The following is a 22,774-nucleotide window of genomic DNA, read 5'->3' on the forward strand; positions in this document are numbered from 1 at the left end:
TCTTACTTGACATCATGATGCAACTGATACAGCTCATCACTCCTGCTTTTTCTGTGTTTAAATGTTTTTTCAGTGGCTTCAATGTTTAGTTTCTGGTTTGCTACCCACTTTGCTGGCTTTTCTTTCTCTGCCAGACCTCCTACCGATGGAGTTCCCTATGCACCTACTCTTTGTTGTTCCTCCTCTAGCTACACAGTCTACCTGAGTGATCCAGGATTTCCATTTCAAATGCCACCTGCGTGTTGAAGACTATCACATTTGTGTCCTTCCTCCCCACTGAACCACAGCCTCTCATGTCCAATTGTCTATTCAGCTTTGCCACTGGGATGTCTAAGAGGCATCTTAGACTTTAATATGACCAAAAATACCAACTGAGCTTGTCTGTGCAATCTTCTTCATTCTCAGTGTTCTCCAAGTCAGTAAATTGCATCATCTTCCATCCAGTTTCTCAAGCCAAACACTTGCAACTCACATCTGATTCCTCTCTCTGTCTAACATTCTTCATGCAACCCTATCCAAACTATCATTATATCTTCCGCGAACTACTGTAATAACATCTCAGCATGTCTCTCTCCCTCTACTCTGGCTACTCTGAAGTTTATTTTCTACACAGGAGGCAGAGAGCTCAAACAAGCATTAATCAAATCATATACTCCCCTCCATAACAGCTTTCAGTGCCTTCCCATTGAATCAATAAGGAAATCCAAACTCTCTCCCTTGCCCCCAAGGCCTTACATGATCTGACCTGCCTTCCTCTTTAAACATTTTGACCTCCTCTCTTTCCCTGCATTCCAGAGCCTCAAGGGCTTTACACTTGCTATTCCTTCTCCTTGGAATGATTTTCCCTGAGATTTTCAAATGGCTATTCCCTCTCATTTGAGGTCTCAGCTGAAATGATGCCATTTTATTAAGATTTTCCTTTACTATCCTAGTAAAAATAGCTCCCCCAGTGCCCTACCTCCATCACTTTCTTGTGTATCATCCTATTTTATTTTCTGCAAAGCACCTACTGTTATTTGATATTATTGTACTTATTTATATGTTTTGTTTATCTCGTTTCTCTGACCTGTGCTATGTGAGATCCTTGTATTACCAGCATGCAGAACAGTGTCTGGCACTTAGCGGGAGCTTCTTTCATTTATAGTTGTTGGCTGGCTGACTGGATGCTTTAATTCTCTGTAAGATCCAGACAGTAGCAAGGCATATCTTATGAATGTTTGTAAGTATTTAACTGTACTTATAGAGCAGTACTCTGTAAATGTTAGCCATCATAATTATTAAAATGTAAATTTTCTTCTAGAAAATTAGCTATCCATTAGATAGCAGTAAATGCTATTTAATGCTGAATTGGGTATGGTGAAATAGACAGTCTCATACATTGCTGGTAGAAATGTAAATCCTCTTAGAAAGCAACTGGGCTTTGTGGAGCAAGACTTTAAACCTGTTATGAAGGGCCTTAGTAATTTTCATATCCTTTGACTCATAAATATCCAAAAAAATCTGTATTTTCAGAAAATAAACTTAACAAAAAAGATATTCACTTATTTATAAGAGTATAAATCTAAAAGCAACCTCAACAGGGAATAGTTAAGTACAATATTTAATTAAAAATAGTTAACTATTTCCTTAAAAATAGTTAACTATTTCCTTAAAAATAGTTAAAATTATGACAAAACTGTAGGAAAAATTGCTACAAAATTTATGCAATAATATGGAAATTGTAATTATATATTCTTAAAATAAAAACTTACACAAACTTGTGCTACACTGAGTGCCCCTCCCCAAATGAAAATCCATTTAAGAAGTGAGAATAGAAATATATAAACTGGGGTGCTAATATTATGATGCTTTGGCTGATTTTTCCTTTTTCTCTAATTTCTAACTTTCTTTAATTATTCATATTTTTATTATGAGTATCTGATTTAAAAACAGAAGTATATATTCATAATAATTTTCATTAAAGCTGATTTTTAGTTCAACTTTGTATGTCTTAATCTAGCTTTCATCTGTCAATTATTTAAAGGTTTTATAAATAGTGAAAACTAGAAAAGTATCCAAAATAAAATAAATACCCATATTCTCATTATCTTCTACTAATAATTGGTTTCCTTCATTTTGTTTTGTTTAGACAGGGTCTTGCTCTGTCTGTCAGGCTGGAGTGCGGTGATATGATCTCAGCTCAGAGCAACTTCTGCCTCCTGGGCTCAAGTGATCCTCCCACCTCAGTCTTCTGAGTAGCTGGGACTACAAGCGTGTGCCACCACATCTGGCTAATTTTTGTATTTTTTGTAGAGACAGGGTTTTGCCATGTTGCCCAGGCTGGTCTGGAACTCCTGAGCTGGAGTGATGGAGCGATCCACCTGCCTTTGCCTCCCAAAGTGCTAGAATCACAAGCGTGAGCCACTGTGCCAGGCCCTAACACTTGTTGATATTTAATCATTTTTGCTTTGTCTTTTCTCCTCAGTTACTAATTTAAAAAACAACACCAGTAAGATTTGTATATATGCAAGTCATATTGTTTTTGTTGATTCCTGGATATCTTTTCACCAATGTTAATAACTTCACTCACTTTGTCTCTATAACCAGTCAACCAAGTACCTTCAGGACCCAAAACTGAATTATTCTCTCTGGGTCTTTGATTTTGATAGGAACTCTTTACCTCATCCTTGGCTAACATACTTTCTCATTCACTACTACAGTCACCCCAAATACCCACCTGTAAAAATTCCAACCATGCCCTAACTTTCCCTTTGATCCAATAACTTAACTTTCTATTTCAATGAGAAAAGAAAGGCCATTAGACATAAATATCAATGTTCCCTCCCATCACTGAGAACAGACATGTAACTGATGTGAACCAATACCTTCACATACATGGGTTGTTTGCATCAATCTGTTTCATATGATTGATGTCCATGTCAAACATGGCAGGCATTCTGGTTTGGAGAGGCAAGAGGGGCCCACAAGAGGAATGTTCTACGTCTTTTAGTCTACAAGGGACTTGTGTGTAGGAACTGGCAGGCCTCCCAAATCTGCTGGAACTATCTGGATGCTGTGAAGTTGCCAGCATGTTGTTTCATAACCAGGACCAGTCTGCATAAGACTTGATTTGTATAATTCAATTCATTTCCAAGCTGATTTTGACTATCACTATTATGCTTATTAATCAATATTTTGACTATCACATCTGTTACCATTTCAAAATTTACCAATATATTTATTCATTTTTATCTCTGTCTCTTGTTTCAGAAAAAGAAAATTTTGATTTCAGTCCAAAAGTAACTTTTATGTTCCACCTCTTCATCATTTTGCACTAAAAATTATTTTGCCTTTCCTTCTATCTTCGACTTTTTTATTTCACTCTGTGTTTGACATATTTAAGCCCTCCTCATCACTAAAAACAAACAAACCAATGAAATCCACCCATGAAGGCTTTAAAGCTAACTTTTATTTATAAAAAATATGGACGTAGAAAAACTGACTGGTTTTATCAGGTAATCCAAGGCATGAAAAACCAACAACAACAAAAAACTCATAAGAAGGGGCTATTTTAGATGGCAGGAAAATTAAAACAGACATAGCAATCCAATATAATACTTGGAACATGTTTGAATCTTGATTCCAATAAGCTCCTTGTAAAAGGATATTTTTTTGAGACAATGAAAGAATTTTGAATATGAATTGAGTATCGGTTGTGACAAGGAATTATTGGTAATTTGGTTGGACGTAACAATAGCATTATATTTATATAAAAAAATATATTTTTAGTGAAGCATAGGTCAGAATATGAAGACTACGTTAAATTTCATGATATCTTGGATTTGCCATAAAATACTTAGGGAAAAGATATAATTTCCTGATGAGTTCTTCCTGCCTGCTGCACAAATAAAATCAATTCACAGAGACCACATCATTGCAGTAAAGAAGGAGTTTAATTGACGGGAGGCCGGCCATGCCTTGTGGGAGATGGAATTATTACTCAAATCAATCTCACCAAAGGCTCAGAGGTTAGGGGTTTTTCAAAGATAGCTTGGTGGGTAGGGAGCCAGGAATTCGTTGGGTAGGAGATGAAATCATACGGAGTTGAAGCTGTTCAATTGTGCTGATTTGGTTCCTGGGTGGGGCCACAGGACTACTGGTGAGTCCCAGTGGGGCCATTTGGTTGTCAGAAATGCAGAAGCCTGAAAAGACATCTCAAAAAGCCAGTCTTAGGTTCTACAGTAGTGATGCTGTCTGCAGAAGTAATTGGGGAAGACACAAGTCTTGGGAGCTCCACAATAATGATTGGTAATTATTTAACTGTGCCTACATTGTAGTAGAGTTCAGGACCCTCTCATCCTTGTAACTTTGTGGCCTTTCTTTAGTTTTACAAGGGTAGTTTAGTTTTTGGGAAGGCCTATTATCATTTAAACTATAAACTAAATTTTCCCCAAAGTTAGCTTGGCGTACGTCCAGGAGTGAGTGACAACAGCCAGCCTATAAAGAAAGAAGCAAGATGGAGTCAGCCATGTCAGATTTCTCAACCTGTCATAATTTTGCAAAGGCAGTTTCACAAAGAGCAGGAGAAAAGAAAAATGTTGCAAAAGTAGCAATCTGATTGTTGATAACTGTTTAGTCTGAGTGAATTACGATGGTTCATTTTACTATTGTTTCTACTTTTGTGTATGTTTGAACTTTTTTCTTCAAAGAGTTGTTGCAAAAGGCCATATGAACAAGTATGTTTCCTTTAACCTCATTTCTCTTCAGGGTTCATTTTCATCTCTCTCCCTCTCATTCTCTTGACATTTTTGGAAATAGCTGTCTAGCTAAACACTTTTATTTCCTTGTTTACCTACAGCAACTTGATTTTTATGCACACAATTTTCTTGAAACTGCTCTATCAAAAGGCATCTTACATCTATGTCATCTTCTAATTCACTTCCCCCCTCCACCACTGTCCAGGCAAAAGAGGCTGTTTTACCCATGGAGGGGAGAGAGACAGGAAGCAGCGTGGGGAGGATGGGCTCATGTGACACTTTAAACTGCTTGCTTTGTTCACAAGTAAAGTTGGTTTTCACAGAGCAGAGAATGGTTCCTGGACTAATGCTAAAATCCTTGGATGCTCACATCCCTTAAATAAAATGGTGTAGTATTTTCACATAACCTATGGATATCCTTCCATATTCTTTAAATGATCTCTAGATTAGATTATTTATAATATCTAATCCAATGTATATGCTATGTAAATAGTGGTTATATTGTATTGTATTTTATTTCTATTATTTTTTATTGCTAATTATTTATTGCTTTTTAAAAAATATTTTAAGTCTGCAGTTGGCTGAATCCACCAAAGTGGAACCTGTGGATACAAAGAACCAACTGTGTAAGATCCCCAAGATGTTATAATCGTTTTGAAAAAGTGTCAACTGTGAGCATCACAGTAGCCTTCACTGGAGCAAACGATAAATTTTTTTCTCTGTGCTTGCCAACTGACTTGTCAATCAGAACAAATAGGATGTGTTTGGGCCTCCCCATCTGCCTTACATGGATAGTTTGGGGATTCTTGTCACAGGACAAAACATGCCGTTAAATAAAGACCACCCTTCCTGGAAGCTGCTAAGGCCTGGCAGGATTAGCTCCAGCTTTTCTCTCCATGGCACATGCTCACTGTGCTGTGTGCCCCACCCCACGTGGGATGCTCCTAGTCCTCCTACCACAGGGCTTTGCATGCACTATCTTCTTACCCCAGTCCACTCACTCCCCTTAGAGCGCCCTCTCCTCAGACCACCAGCTCCTTCAGAACCCAGCATAATTATTACTTCTCAGGAAGCCTCTCCTCCCTAAGCAGGACAACCCCTCCTATAACCTGCTTTCCCATCCCATGTTCACTTCCTTCCTATCCCTTATCTGGCTATAATCTTACATGTATCGAGTCTTTGATAACATCTATCCCCAATAGTATATATCCCATGAGGGTGGGGACCACGGTTTAATTTTTTGTCCTCGCTAATTCTTGCTGTCCTGAAAGCTCTTCACTAGCCCTTGATAAGTCTCCTTAAATGTAAACCATTTGGCTTCTCTCTGATCTCAACTTATGCTGTTCTGTGCCTCCTATTTATGGCCAATATTTCATTTTTCCTTTTCAGTCCAATCCTGAACTTATATATCATGAGGGCCTCATGAACTATGAGATTACAAAGTGGAGTGAATAATCTCTTAAATCACAGTTCTTGTATCAAAATCGTTAAAAGAAAAACTTTAGCCAAATTAAATTTAAGAGAGTTTAACTGAGCAAAGAATGATTCACAGATCGGGCAGCCTCCTGAGCCAGAGTAGGGTCAGAGACTCCAGCGCAGCCAGGTGGTGGAAGATTTATGGACAGAAAAAGAAAAGTGACCCACAGAAAATGGAAGTGAGGTACAGAAACAGCCAGGTTGGTTACAGCTCAGCATTTGCCTTATTTGAACATGGTTTGAATGGTTGGCCAGCTTTGATTGGCTGAAACTTGGTGATTGGCACAAGAGTAGACTACAGTCTGTATACACCTTCATTTAGGTTATAGTTCACGATGTACAGAGAAATCTTTAGGCCAAACTTAAAATATGCAAGGAGGTGTCTTTAGACTACACTTGATTTAAGAAAACTCAATTGCTTCTTTTTCCCTGTGTAAAACTTCATTGTCTTTAGTATAAATTCTTCAGTTGGTCTCCTACTGACTTCTCAAAAGTAAAGGATGTGGAAAATTGTCTTTTTTTGTACTTCATGTCCTGCCAACATATTGGTGACCTCAATGGTCATGTAGATGTCCTGTCTGAAATCCTGACCCTCACAGTCCTCTGACTTCCTCATCTCTAAGGATCTTGACTGCCCCTCCTCCTCAGTCCCACATAGAGTCATACTTTCACCTGGGACTTGGTCACCAACTAGACTAATTCCTATTAGAAATCTTCAATTCCATTATCCTATTCTGGCCATAATCTCCAAAATGTTCAGTCCTTATTCTTGCAAATATGTCTGGATTATCTTCAGCCCTCATCTTACCTGACCACTTTGTAGCATTTGATGATGTTGTCAATCTTTTTTTTTCTTAAATAAAAACTCTTAACTTTCTTGTTTATCATAAAAATTGTCCGCCCTGGTCATCCTCTGATTTCTTTTCTCGTCCCTTCTTACTATCATACATGGGCCTTTAACCCTGCCCTCTCAAGCTATTGCTTTTCCAGTTTCTGTTCTTACCCATTGCTCTTCCATTCAACAGGTCTTTCTGGGTGATTCACATGGTTTAAACAACTCTCATATGAAGATGACTCTATCTATCATCCATCGTATGTATGTATCTATCCTCTCTATCTAGGTATCTGCCTATCTATGTATCTATCTGTCTATCCATCCGTCTATCTTTATAGCATTGCTCTCACATCTGGGATATAAACTTGAATATCCAAATGCTTAATGAGCATCTTCGCTTGGATGTACCACAGGCTCCTCAGACTTTACGTCTCACTCTCACCCCCATGACCTTTTCCTATCCTGACCAGCTCTTCCTCCTGGTTTTCTTGCTTATTCAATGGCACAATCAGCTCTGTCATACACTTGTGAATCGCCCTGAACTCCTCCTACTCCTTCCTCCCTGCACACCCAATTAAGCACTAAAATGAATATTCTGCCAGGCACAGTGGCTCAAGCCTGTAATCCCAGCACTTTGGGAGGCCAAGGCAGGTGGATCACCTGAGGTCAGGAGTTCAAGACCAGCCTGGCCCACATGGTGAAACCCTGTCTCTACTAAAAATAAAAAAGTTAGCTGGGCATGATGGCAGGTGCCCAAAATCCCAGCTACTCAGAAGGCTGAAGCGGGAGAATCTCTTGAACCCGGAAAGTGGAGGATGCAGTGAGCTGAGATAGCACCACTGCACTCCAGCCTGGGTGACAGAGTGAGACTCCATCTCAAAAATAAGAAAATAAACAAAATAAAATGAGTATTCTGCTTCCGAAGTAGTTTGAGTCAATGCTCTTTTTTTCTATCTGATATACAGCTTTCTTTCATTTACTCATTGTTTCTCTCACCTGGAATATTACAATAGCCTCCTACATTTGCTTACTTCCCACTAATCTAATTTATTCATTATTTCTCACAGGAATATTACAACATCCTTCTACTCTCCTTTCATCTGAGGAGCTTTCAAATTTATCTTCCATACTGTCACAGAATGCCCTATCTAAAATGCAATTGCAACCAGTTACACCCCTGCTTAAAAACTCTTCAAAGCCTTTCTGTTTTCCACAAGATAAAGTTTAGGGCCTGAAGCAACACACATAGGACCTCCATGATCTACCTCTATCACCATGGCCGAGCTAGCCTTTCATTGGTAGGAATATCAAGCTATTTGTCATTTCCATCCCAACCGTTTCACTCCCGGTCTCTCACAAACACTGTCCTAGATATACTCTCAGTCTTTCTAATCTGGTGCTATTGCAAAATTATCTTAATTGGTGATGGCTGTAGAATTGCTTTTTCTAAAGTATTGATCTGACTGTGTCATTTTCCTGCTCAAAAGCTTTGTTAACTAATCAGTCTTTTCAGAATTTATTCATTCGTTCACTCATTTAGTCAAGTGTTGAGTAGCACATTCCAGGCATTGTGCTGAAATTCTCAGCAATACAGTGTACGTATTCTAGAACCAACACATATTTCCATTTCTAGATCTCTCCTGCTGGTCTCTCTGCTTGGAATTTTCTTCCCTGATTCAGTGTAGCTAGCTACTTCTTTCCCTTCAGGATTCACCATTGCTTAGGAAAGTATTCCTGCATCTTTTATCTAAATCCTTTTGTTCTACCAAGGGGGCAGTAACAGCATCTTCATTTCCTTCACAGCACTTTGCATTTTATCAGCACTTATCAATTCAGTGATCTCTTTGTCCTTCAGTACTGTAAGTTACAAGAAAATAAGAACTGTCTTCTTTTGCTTACCTCTGGATTCCCAGTGCCTAGTATAGTGCTTGACACATAGAAGCTATTTGTGAAAAGAATGAATGAAATCGGCATAAATGAAATAATACAAATCATGATTCTTTGTTCTCTATTAATCTAAAAGTTTCCAATTTTCAACAAAGTAGATGTACTATATATAAGCAGTCTATGTCCTACCAGCATTTATTCCATCAGTGTTGAATTTGTCCCAAATATTTCCATCTCCTGCCTATTTCCATATCAGAAATCCCTTGGTTTCTTTCCCTAACACTTCTTTGTTATTCTCCAACATTTAATCCTTCTTCATCAGAAACACGGTCTCTTGTGTATGTGCTCCCATATATTCATTATATGTCCGTTCTTCAGCATCAGTAAGGCACTATTCATGTCTCTATTGGATTATGAGTTCCTTAAAGTTAAGGCTTCTGGCTCTAGATCTAGGGGAGACAAATACTTCTTGGATACCTGGCACTGTGCTAAGTAACTGCATATGAGATATTTAATTCCTTAAACCAAACTTTACAAACTGGATCTTAGTTTTGCAGATAAATAAAATGGAAAGTCTAAGGGATTAAGTGATTTGCCCAAGATTAATAATAAGTTAATAATAAATTAATAGGTGGTAGAGCTGGGTCTCAAAGTAAGTTAAGATTAATTTCAAGAAACAGTGTTATTATGTTTGCCTCTCTTGCTTATCTTTGTATGCCAACCACCTAGCTCAGTGTCTTCCACATAATAAGCGTCAAATAGAACATAAACTTAATCAAATTGAAACCAGATGGGCAACCATCTCCTTTGAGGTTCACTGCGTGTTGGGTAAGTTCTTATACCTAGTAGTTTTATTCATAAGCTTTAATATACACACGAGAAAACCACACATTATCACTCTCCTTTTAGCCAGCTGATAATAGTTTCTTCCCACCCTTACCCCTCAAAAAACCCAGAAAATATTGTAAGAAATATTATAATATCCCACCATTCATTTTTTCCGTGTGACTCTTAATGTTGTGGCCTATGAAAGGAAGCTACAGATGATCTAACTGACCTCTAAGATCCAATCTATTCTAACATTCTGCACATCTGTAACTCTATGAGTAGATGAATTGTGAGTACATATATCTAATATTATAGAAACTCACCTAGGATCAACGCAGAAGGGTAAAAATGCTAAATACCTATTCTGAAACAGTAGCCTCACAGAAGAATACTACATAAAGTTATCATCCAATTTCCAGAAGCGTAACCTAGTTTCAGACTAAAACGCAAAATTAAAAGTATCCCTGCTGTAATGAAACACTTCTTTTCATTTTGTACCAATGCACTCCAGTATCATTCTTGCTTATATTTCAACAGTTTTTGAGTCGAGTTGGTAGGCTTAGGAAGAGATGACTTATATTTATGCCAGATTCAGCACAGTTCCTTTCCAATGGTACTTAAATGTCCTTATTCCAGAGGGAAATAAAATGACATACTACAATGGAAGCATTTTGAGCTGCAGAATTTAGAACTGTGTCCTCCAAATCATTTGGTTAGTAAGGTATCTGTTGGAAAAGCCCAAAAGAACTTCAACAGCAAAAATTGACCAAGTCTTCATTGTTTTTGCCTCAATATATTTCACACACAACTTTCTGGGAAGGTAGCCAAGGTAGGAGTTGCCCTAGCTAAAAATACATTTCCTTTAAATGTGAAAGTGGAAGTGATTGTAGCAATTGTTATTTGTGAGGCTCCAAAGAGATACTGATTGCTGCATAGTAGATTTGTCTCATGGAATTTAAAGAGTTTTCTGACATGATCTTATTAAGCCATGTTAATTATTTTGTTCATAAACTAAGTAAGTATTTAGAACTACAATCTGTTCTACTTTAAAGCTGTTTCATTGATACTGCTTCCCTTGTGCAAATAGGAGATAATAGGAGAATAATGTCTACATAACACAGCAGTTGTGTCTTAGTTCATGTATAATTTTTTTTCCAGCAGGTTAATGTTTTAAAGTGGTCAGAGTAGGCTTTCTTACAACTAAAGAAAGAGCCTTAGCAATCTGTGAATTAACTCTGGAAATCTACAGAACTGCAGGTGGAGACTAGGTTAGTGGCTTCAAGAATTGCTACCCTTTCTACTATGCCAAGCTTCTTGGGTAAACTGTTACTGCAGATAACAAAGCTGCAATGACATTTCCCTTCTATTAAAAAAAAAAGGTACACTCTGGATAAGATTTCTAATATTTGTTAAATAATCTACTAGAAGAGAGTGTCCTCTAGGATCTCTCCTTCAAAGGGAAATCACCAGAACCAGGAGTTAAAATTGCGAAGATTAACTGATTGGACATAAATACAAAGAGAGATTTAACAATGCTGGTATTTCTATTAGGAGGGTTAATTATTCTCATTAGTGTCTTGGTTGCAAAATTCCATAGCTTATGAGGAATTTGTCCCAATTCTATTCTTTCCATAAGCTCTCTTATTTTTAGTGTCCAATTTTACAGAGGTGAACATGCATTGTAGGAGAAATACCTGAATTATTTTATAAACAGGAGAAAATCCAAATTTTCTAAATGTAAGAGATTAAAGCCAAGTCACAATCCAATGAGGAGGCAGAGTAAAACATTAGGATTTATGGTTCTTAATTCTTGCATGACTGTTTTAGGAAGTACTTGTTTGTATCTACCACTGAAGATATGTGGTGGTATAATATATACATATATCAAAACAATCACACTATAATCATACATATCTACAATTATTTGTCAATTAAAAGTAAAATAAAATAAATTTTTAAGAACAAAGAAAACAATTGAAATCTTTCAACAGACTTTATTTTCCTTTTATTTTTACACATTTACTTATTTCCAAAAGGATTGAAATGCCACTAAGGAGGGACTTAATACTTTATGACTTTTTCAGAGCCTCCTTGAGACATGTTAAAGTTGCACAGTTGAAAAATACCACACAGCTTTACTGTTGTGCTTGGCAACTTTTCAGAAGATAAATGCTAGCATTCCAGAGGCTTCCTAGTGAATGATGAAGGGTGGAGACACACATTCAGCACCTGATGGCAAGCTGGGCTAATGGTGAGAGGTACCTTTGTGGTGGATGAAGATGTGGAGGGTGGGTGCAGAAGACTGCAGGACAGAGTGAGACAGGATCAGGGAACAGGTGCCTGTGATACCAAAAATCAGCTCTAGGGGTATTTTGCCATGTGTGTATGGGTTGCTGAATATCTTTGCATATGACATTTTTCTGCATTAATTAATTATTCATTTGACTCAAGAAATGTGCTTTGCATATCTATGTTGTTCCGGGTACTGTGCTTAGCATGAAGGAGAGAGATGAAAAACACTCAGCCTCTGGTTTCAAACAAACCAACAGCCAATTGCAATCCAGTATAATAATGAGTGTCTGGTGTTATGGAAGCAGAAGGACACCTCTAACTCAGGCTGTGGTCAGAAAATTTAAAATGTGAGGATAATGCTTGAGTTTAGAACACCGGAAAACTTGGTAACCTGCCAAGTAAATAAAATGGGAGAGGGGACTTTCAGGCAGAGAGAATGGAATGTACAAAGGTGAGAGACAAAAAATATCGGAGTTTTGGGAAATGCAAGTGAGTGTGGTGGCAGCATAACCTCTGTGTGTGTGTGTGTGTGTGTGTGCACGCATCTGTGTGCACATGTGCACAAGCATATATGTACACAATATGTGGAGTGATGGGGAAGGAATCAATTGAAGGTTGAAAATGAAATCAAAGAAGCAGGTAAAATCTAACTCATAAAAGGTTGTGCCTATCAACAGTTTGAACTTGGTAGGGTTTAACAATTAGTTTACTCAACCCAAGTTGCCTCCTTTACCTGTTCTCCACCATAGCACTTTCAAACCTTTGCTGGGCAATCAGCTCTGTGAGGGTAGTAGCCATGACTCTTAGTCACGGTTATATCTCTGGTGACAAAGCATAGTAGCTGACGCATGGGAGATGTCCAGTAACTACAGGTAGAATGAGTCTCTCTTCTCAAGCTTTTAGCTCTATGCCAACTCCTTCCTCCCAGAAGGTGACTTTAACTTTTTTTTTTTGAGACCGAGTCTCACTCTATCACCTAGGCTGGAGTGCCATGGCACGATCTCGGCTGACCGCAACCTCTGCCTCCCAGGCTCAAGCGATTCTCCTGCCTCAGCCTCCCCAGTAGCTGGGCTTTCTGGCGCCTGCCACCACACCCAGATAATTTTTGTATTTTTAGTAGAGACAGGTTTTCGCCATGTTGGCCAGGCTGATCTCGAACTCATGACCTCAAGTGATCCTCCCGCCTCGGCCTCCCAAAGTGCTGGGATTACAGGCTTGAGCCACTGCACCTGGCGATTATAAGTTCCTAACTCAGGAAATAATCATAATCAGACATTGTGTTACTTTCCTAGAGCTTCTATAACAAAATGTGACAAACTAAGTGGCTTAAACAACATACTTATTGTCTCACAATTCTGGAGCCTAGGAGTCCAAGATCCAGTGTCAGGAGAGTTGATTCGTTCTTGAGGCAGTGAGGAAGAATCTGTTCAATGCTTCTTCCCTACCTTTTAGTGGTTTTGGGGTAATCTTTGGTATTCTTTGGCATCTAGACGCATCACTCCAATCTCTGCCTTCATGTTCACGTGGCATTCTCCGTGTGTGTGTGTGTGTGTGTGCACCTGTTTCCAAACTTCCCTTTGAGTAAGGACACGAGGCACTTTGGATTAGGACCCACTATATTATTCTCATTGTAACTTCATCACCTCTGTAAAGATCCTATCTCTGAGTGAGGTCACCTTTTGTAGTAATCTAGGTTAGGACTTCAACATACGATTCTTGTGGGGAGTGTACAATTCAATCCACAACAGGTACAAACTTCAAAACTACCTTCCATCAACTTTCATAATTTATTCTGCAAATAGAGTTTACTGTCCCCATTTTAAAGAGGAGAAAATTGGGGCTTACCCTCTTTCTATGATTTGATCAAGTTTCCACAGCTAGTAAGTGGCAGAGTTTTAACATTGTCTTTAAATAGCCAGATTGAATGCAACCAAAACAAACATTGCAGGAAAGAATTACTTGTTTTATATGTAGGTAGCATGCAATATAAGAGTTGTTCATTCATTATTTTACTTATCTGATAAATAAACATATTGAATATTTATGATGTACCAGGCACTGTGGTATGTTCTGAGGGGACAAGAAATTAGTAAAACGTAAAGGTTGACCTTAAAGCAATTTGCCATTTTCATGTCCAAATTGTAATGTCAGAACATATAAACATTGATCGAACATAAGGGGATGTTTTCCCAGATTTATCAAACTAAACTCAAACTACTTTACTTCAATTTCTTAGATACTCTATAAAACAACAAGGCAGAGAAATGTAGTGGGTTAATAATACAATATAATTTGAAAAGGTTGACTTCGAACATGTTTAAAGAGTGTAAAACATTTGGCAGACAGTTTAATAACCTGTTCAGATAAAAGAAAACACGTATAAAAATAAATACACAAAAAGCTAAAATGATTGCCAAACCTCATGTTTACTCACCCACTGTGATAGGATCTAAGAATGCTGAAAAGCAGCAAATTTGTCTTAAAAGGCAGTGTATTTTCAGATTCAGCAAATATTTACTGATGCCTACTGTGTGCTGGACTGTTTCCTGGGCGTTTTCCATTCTACCTGTGTGATAGTAAGCATCTTACCCCATGAGTCTCAATTGCCCATCTATAAAATAGAAACAGTAATAATACTTTCCTCACCACATTGTTATGAAGAGCAAATGAGATACCATAGGAAGAACTTGGTGCAGTGGCTGGCATGTAGTAGGTTTTTTTTTTTTTTTTTTTGAGTTAGATTCTCATTCTTTCACCCAGGCCAGAGTGCAGTGGCAGGATCATGGCTTACTGCAGCCTCAATCTTCCAGGCTCAGGTGATCCTTGTACCTCGGCTTCCCAAAGTGCTGGGATTACAGGCATGAGCCACTGTGCCCAGCCTGTAGTAGCTTTTCAATAAATGTTTGTGGAATCTGAATCTGAATCGTATAATTTTTCCTATTATTCTTAGACTAAGATTGGAGAATTAGGGCCAAGTGTGGTGGCTCATGCCTGTAATCCCAGCATTTTGGGAGGCCAGGGTAGGAGGATGGCTTGAGCCCAGGAGTTCGAGAGTAGCCTGGGCAACATAGCAAAACTTCTTCTCTACAAGAAGTACAAAAAATTAGCTGGGCGTGGTGGCCCACGTTGGTAGTCACAGCCACTCGGGAGACTGAGGTGGGAGGATCGCTTCAGCTGGGGACGTCGCTGCTGCAGTGAGCCGTGATTACACCACTGCACTCCAGCCTGGGCAACAGAGTTAGGACCCTGTCTCCAAACAAAAACAAAACACAGCAAAACAAAAAACAAAGATTGGAGAACTTTAAAAAAATATTGCGTACTTTAAATCTGAAAGTTCTTTCATAGCCTTATTATAAATATGCATTGTTAGAGACAGATGCAAACCGTTTTTATTTTTTTTTGTACAAGGCATATAAGAAAGAATAAGAATAAATTGTAACTTGAATTACAACATTCAAGACAAACTATTCTTAAATGTATTGGAAAGAATTACGTATTCCCTGGGTTCTTAAAAAGGGTACAGTTTTTCAACTCTTTTTTTCTGTTATGCATTGCATTGGGTTACGATCAGAGCAATTTAAATGATGCAGTCACATTTTCTATTTAAAGTAATAAGGTTCAAATCTCTTAGAAATAAAGCAAAGCAATATAGCCATACTGCTGGTAATAACACTGATCAATTTGATCTTACAAATATGAAACGAGTATGCCAGCATATCATGTAGCATGTGCCAACAATTCTGTAGTTATATATAAATTTGTACTGTTATTTGTTTTAAATTTATGCTCCTGTCTGTTTCTGAAAGGACTTGAGACAGTGTATAAATATACGCATGGTTTAAATTTACAATGATACACACTCATAACATAACTCAATAAATCCCACAAGAAACCTAAGTAACTTTTGTCTATCAGTTTCTGGGAAAGGTCTGCTTGTTTTCTTGAGGGAAAAAATAGACTCAACTTCTTCTTATTCATTGTTGTTTCCTTGGAGCTCTCTTAGGGAACCTATAGCTATCTGGGTTGTGGCTCACCAACCCATGTGATATGAGAGAGCAGAGGACTTTTATTAAACTCACATGTACTGTTGAAATCTTGACGGGGTACATTGTTAACATGGATCTGATATCAGTGAATAATATTTTAGGATTATAGATCTGGAATAGGTATATTTAAGAAATAGATCTAGAATCCTATACTTGCCTAGAAGTAAGTTGCCACCATAACTTTTATGGCAGAAAATGACACTCCAAATGATGATTTTCCATTTTCCTTTTGGTAAAATGCTTTTACTAAATAAAAGCAGAATTGTGCATCTTTCATTCATTACTTCAGCCATTTATTAAACAACTCTTTATTGGATATTTAGTACATGCAGAGCAACGGGAAACACACTGAGGATGTAAAGATGAGTACAACACCATCCCTGGCCTCAGGGAGTATTTTATGTGGTTGGGAATGAGGATGTAAATGGACATTTAAAACATAACCTACTCACAGCCAGGCGCGGTGGCTCACGCCTGTAATTCCAGCACTTTGGGAGGCTGAGGTGGGTGGATCACGAGGTCAAGAGATCGAGACCGTCCTGGCCAACATGGTGAAATCCTGTCTCAACTAAAAATACAAAAAATTAGCTGGGAGTGGTGCTGCATGCCTGTAGTCCCAGCTACTCGGGAGGCTGAGGTAGGAGAATCGCTTGAACCCAGGAAGCAGAGGTTGCAGTGAGCCGAGATCGCGCCACTGCACTCCAGCCTGGTGACAGAGCGAGACTCTGTCTCAAAAAACAAACCAACAAACAAACATAACCTGCTCAGTTCTGTGAGAGCAGAGGAGGAGCACTTCATACAGATGACGACTCAGGGCCCCTAAATGAAGGAATATCTGAAGAATAAATAGACGGTGTGATTAGTTTTCACCCAAAAGGGGCATTCTGGACAGTCATTCCAGTTCATGCAACAAGTTCAACATATTATGATGGCAGACAGAGAAATTGGAGTCAGTTTTGAAATGTTCACCTAAGTCATGCTAAAGTGATGGCTGTTACCCTGAAGTCAATGAGGAACCTCTGCAGGATTTCAACATGTTTAAAATTGAGTTTTATAAATATTTTCCCCGACTAAAGGTAGATAGTATGCAAAAATATACTGGTGTTGGGACAGTCAATCACAGAGCTGCAAGGGGGAAATAACAGAAATCCTAAATAAAATAATGCTGCAGAGGTGAAGATTTATTAAACTCGATTCTACTGTATGGGAAACAAATCTAAGATTATTCATTAGGCAAAAGCACAAAAGAAGATTACATTCCTTTACATTGCTTCTCATTTTGTGAGATTGCTCTCCTGTCATTAACGCCGTCACGGCCTAAACTCAACAATTATCAGACAAAAAGGAGTTCCTGTTTTGTCCTTTTCAGGTATTATTTCACAGCTTTGCTCTCTTGTTAACCTAAGCACTATGGCTCTGAAAAACCAAAACCATTAATGCTTTTTTTTTACTGAATTCCCACGAGGCACTGAAAGATGTGATGCTCTGAAAAACTATGACAGGAAGTCACTAAAGACCATATTTTTGCTTAAGAAATTAGGACTAAATCTAATAATTATGATTAAAAATAGAAAAACCATAAAGAGATATATGGTGTTAGGAAAGAGAGTGATCTTGTAGTTAACTTCAAACTAATGACCAATTTATGCATATAATTATTTTCAGCTCTTAATAATGTTCTCAAAAGTTGAGGAGTTACTGAAACAAATGGACAAAATGCTGATAATTATGGAAACTGGATGGTGTATAAATGAGGGTTCACTATACTATTTTTTCTACTTTTGGAAGTGTTTGAACTTTTCCATAAAATGAAGTTTTAAAAAAGTATTTTGATAATATTGTGTGGTGAGTATCCATAACTGGAAAATAAAATTTATTTTAATTTGATTATATTACTTGATCAATTTATTTAGCTTCTGGATTTTTGAGTCTGTGAAATTTACTTGGTAAGCTTCCATTATAAGACTCTATCTAAGGTCTTAAAAACACTCCCCAAAATCTCTTCCTACAGAAAGTAATTTACAGTAAGGATACAGTGAGCTTCAATTTAAGATGATAATACAAAACATAATCATTTTCTGTCTTAGTAACTTGCTTGAAGCGAAGTCTTTTGTGGATGAGATAGTCATTGACTTAGTGGAAAACACCATTTTACATTTACATATTTATTTAAGTTCCAACTTGTTTCAAATTATTTGATGTGGCCCATGATATATACTAGAGTAATCTCTTATCCTAGAAGAAATGTATTTCCCAAAATAAAATAATTGAACCCTAGAGAATAATTTTCACAAATAACTAAACATATAATTGCATTTCACATTTTGCTTACTAATGAAATTTTCAAAATGGTAAAGATTTACTTCTAATGTTTTTTAGGTCAAAAAGGCTTACAGAAAAATTCAAAATGAAAGTTGGTTTAATTAAGATCAAGAAGGAGAAGATGGTGTGAATTAAATTTTTTGTCAGAAAACATTTCAAATACAAACTAAATGACCTAAGAATTGTAGACTCAGTAGTAGATAATATAAATGACCATCCCGAAACAGATTCTGCAAGTGGTAAGCCTTGTTGTACACTGGAAGAGAGAGATAAATGACAAGCCACCTTCTTCTTGAGGCCTGGAAGATTCAAACAGCAGTTCCCCATTTTCCAAATTTATTATCAGGAATAAAAGCAATATTGAAATAATGCCCAAGCCATATTTAAAAAAGATCTCAGCACTGATGATAAATTGATCAGGCTTCGAATAAATTGTGAGAATTTTTGTTTGGCATTCAGAAAGCATTTCTTATAGAAACAATTTTTCATATGGTGGTTTGGACCCCGGAAAAACCCACAAACCTCTTTAGCATGTTGTATGTTTGCAGTATATACGGACAATGCTAAAGGTGTACAATGCCACTGTACTGCAATACTCTCCTTTTACCCTAGGAGTAAAGCTCAAATCCCTTGCCCTATCCCATGATGTCCTTCATGAGGCATCCTCTGCCTCCTTGCAGACCTCACCTCACACCACTCTCCCCTAACTGTCTGTGCTCCAGTCACACTGGTCTTCCACAAGATTCTTGAATAAGTCAGACTTATTCTCACCTTAAGGCATTTGCCTAAGTTGTTTTCTCACTTAGAATGCAGTTCTCTGACTCCTTCTCCTCCAGACATTAAGAAAAATGTCACTGGGTGCACCTGCTTAGTAGACTCAGCCTAGCTACTGACACCTACTGAAACCTACTCTGACACCCAGTGTAGATTAGCCACCTAATCATTCTATTAAACATGTTATCATGTTTCCATTCTTTGCATAGCTCAAAAAAAAAAACCTACCACCTGATATTCTCTTGTTAATTTCCTTGTGCATTCTATGTGTCCCCAGCTAATAGGTAAGTTTCATAAGAGGGAAAGTCTTGTTCAACATTGCCTTCAATAGCCTGAAACAGTGACTGGAAATAGAAGATCTTCAACGCATGAGTGAATGAATTAAAGAATAACTCTACAGGACTACTGTATGCAGTAATAGAGACTCTAGCTGACGTCACTGGAATATTTGCTCAGATTTATGCCTCAAGGAGATAGGTGTACATCTTCTGTTTCATCACTGATGGTTTCAAGGCACTAGAGTTGTCTTCCCAACAATCTGGGATAAGGTAACCAGTATTAAGAGGCATGACACTGAATCTAGGAGGTGGGTTGATGTGAGAATTAAGAATGACACTGAGACTTAATGAATGGGTGTGGTAGAGACCTCTAAGGCAGGTCTTCCTCCCCTTCACATTTTGCCTCCACCCCATTCTCCCTTTTCTCCTGTTCATTCTCACTAAACAAAGGCTTGGCCAGGAAACAAGTCTGGCCAGCAACATTAATTGGTCATTAATAGGTACATTTTACTTCTTCCTTCTTCTCTCCTGTCATTTCTTCGTTCTCTTCTTCTCTTTCTTCTTCCCTCTCTCCTGCCCCCAATTTTTTCCATCCCTCACTATCTTCTCTTGCAACTTCCATTTGGTTCTGGGAGTGGTGAAGTTGGAGACCACTGCACCAAGCCCAGTGCCCGGCACGCAATAGGTGCACATGTTATGCTTGTTGACTGACTGACTAAATGAATGAATCAATGAACAGATTCCGTTCTGCAGTCAGTGGAATTCTAGAAAGCATATTTTCCTAGATTATTCCAGTACATGCCAAATGGGACAGTCTAACGGTTTGCCTAAATCAAGATGGATCACTTCTCTGGCTTCCTCTAGGCACTAACAGATCTGCTGCTTGGCCACTGACAGGAATTTCATTAATTGGGTGTGATGTGTTTTTTGTGAAGCTGACAGAATTTATTAGTAACTCAATTTTAAGAGACTTAAAAATGAAAGAATCAAAATAGAAAACACTGTGAATTCTATTGTTTTAAATGACAACTTGTCACATGAATAGGTAATGCGTACTCCTATGGACAAATTCCTTAATTTATTTATTATTTTGGTTAGAATACAATATCTTTTTCTTTACAAGAGAGGTACTAGAATCCTTCAGTAGATGCCTAGATACTGCTGTTCTCTTTTGTAACAGTCGCTAAGATACATAAAATTCAGTGATAAAGTTTAGTGGCACGGTTGATTGTTTTTATTTCAGAAATGATTTGCCTCTGTGGACTCATTTACAGATTTGTTTAGATACATTCTTCAACATGTCTATTCTTTCTATTTTCCAGTGCTGTTCACGAGGAGTTGCTGGCTCAGCAGGCCTCTTTGTCTCTGTGCTCATGACAAGGACATATCACCTAACTCTGGGCTCTGGCTCACTTAGTAGCTTCTTTGCCGTTGGACTCTCACACCGAGATGTCACCGAGCAGCAGCCTTTCCCAGGAAGTTGTTAAGGAGATGGGAATCCTCATGCCTGCTGCTTTTTCCCAAATCAGAGGAAGCCCGGGAGCCAGTTGCAGTAAAGTCTTGCCAGTAACGTTTCTCTTAAGAACGGTGAGAAAATACTATGAAAAGTCACATTTACTTTGATCTAGAATTAAGTAAATTTCGGTGTTTGGGTCTTTGGCAAAATGTCACAAGTGGAAAGTCAGGACTCACATGATGTCTAGGCTTCTCTCTATGAGAATTATTTTTAGCTTCTCTTGGTATGCTTGGGTTTCATGTTATAGCCCCCAACCCTCACCACCCTTAAATACAGTAGAACGAAAAAAGGCAGAAAGAAGTTTAGGGACTGGAGTGGTCCCTGCAGTTGTCTGCTTGGCATCCAACCTGACTCGGCCCGCGTGGCAGCCTGTGGTCTGGGTGGGCGTCGCCCCTCGTCACGCCCTGTGGGGAGCTGTGATTGGGTCACGCCTGTCAGGGCAGCCCCGCCCCATGGGTAAGTGACTCAGTTCAAACTCATGAGATGTGAGCTTTGGTCACGGAGGCCCTTGTTTCTCTTTAGAGAAAGCTACTCAAAGAAATGATCTCTTCCTGGATGTTGTGGTCCACGAATATTATGTCTGGAACATCAGAGCCATCTTGTCTCCATGATGGGAGTTCCATCTAAAGACAAAGTCAAAACCCAGCAGAGGACACAGCTGAAGGAACACGAGAAAGTGGCATGGAAACGCTGAAGCCCCAGCACCGGCAGACCTCAGTTATTGGGGCCAATCAACCTCTTGTTACTGTTCAAGCGAGTTTGGAAACGTTGTCAGAGACCCACAACAGAAAACAACTCAAACAGCGTATGTTTTAACTGTGATTAAAATCCTGTTTTAGGCCAGGTTGGGTGGCTTAAGCCTGTAATCTCAGCACTTTAGGAGGCCGAAGAGGGAGGAGCGCTTGAGCCCAGGAGTTTCAGACCAACTAGGCAATATGGCGAAACCCTGTCTCTACAAAAAATACAAAAATTAGTCGGGCATGGTCGCAGACGCCTGCAGTCCAAGCTACTTGGGAGGCTGAGGTGGGATCACTTGAGTCCGGGAGGTGGAGGTGGCAGTGAGCTGAGATCGTACCATTGCACTCCAGCCTGGGCCACTGCACTCCAGCCTGGGGGACAGAGCTAGATTCTGTCTCAAAAAAATGAAAAAAGAAACAAAAACAAACAAACAAAAAACTGTTTTAAATTTTCATTTGTCAGTAACACTAATCATAAAGAGTTGCCCAAATGAATCTACAGAAATGTTTTTGTTTCAAAGGTAAACCCTACCTTGAGTGGATCATTATTTAACATTTGATAACTTTGACACAGAATTCTGCACATCAGAAAAAGATTTTTTAATTGAGTTCCTAAGTATATCTCAGTTTTGTTCTTAAAATAAAAATGCATTTTATCTAATTCTAAAGTCATTTTACCAGGCTACCATAGATAAAGTCAGAACATTTCAACAATTATTGAAGATATGTCTAGAGGTCAATAATTATAATATTAGCTTATTATTTTCATTGTCTTTTCTCAAGACCTTTTAGGAACTTTGTTTTGTCTTGACAGAATTAAGTAGCAATCTTCTCTGGAAATAACTATGAAAAATCACTAAGTCCATTAATTAGAGAAGTTTCTATTCATAAAAGAAGAGTGGATAATAGTTACTGTATTGAAAAAACATTAAAATATGTGTTTTATAAGTAAATGGTCAAGACTTTTAAAACATCTATTTTCTCACTTTTCTAGGAAATAAAAGATAGCCAGGGAAAGAAATCCTAAACCCCTAATTTAACTGAAGT

At 38.2% G+C, this 22,774-nt stretch overlaps 1 long non-coding RNA gene across 1 annotated transcript in view; it reads left to right on the top strand.

The window, feature by feature from the left end:
* Nucleotides 1–22,774, top strand: part of LOC105375937 (uncharacterized) — a 39,068-nt gene that overhangs the window by 7,372 nt on the left and 8,922 nt on the right. Inside the window, exons 4-5 of the long non-coding RNA XR_929129.4 lie at nucleotides 20,797–21,061; nucleotides 21,513–21,795. This is a non-coding gene — a long non-coding RNA (uncharacterized LOC105375937). The remainder of the gene's footprint in view (nucleotides 1–20,796; nucleotides 21,062–21,512; nucleotides 21,796–22,774) is intronic.

This window comes from Homo sapiens, chromosome 8, assembly GCF_000001405.40.
Source record: "Homo sapiens chromosome 8, GRCh38.p14 Primary Assembly".
NCBI classification, from domain to species: domain Eukaryota; kingdom Metazoa; phylum Chordata; class Mammalia; order Primates; family Hominidae; genus Homo; species Homo sapiens.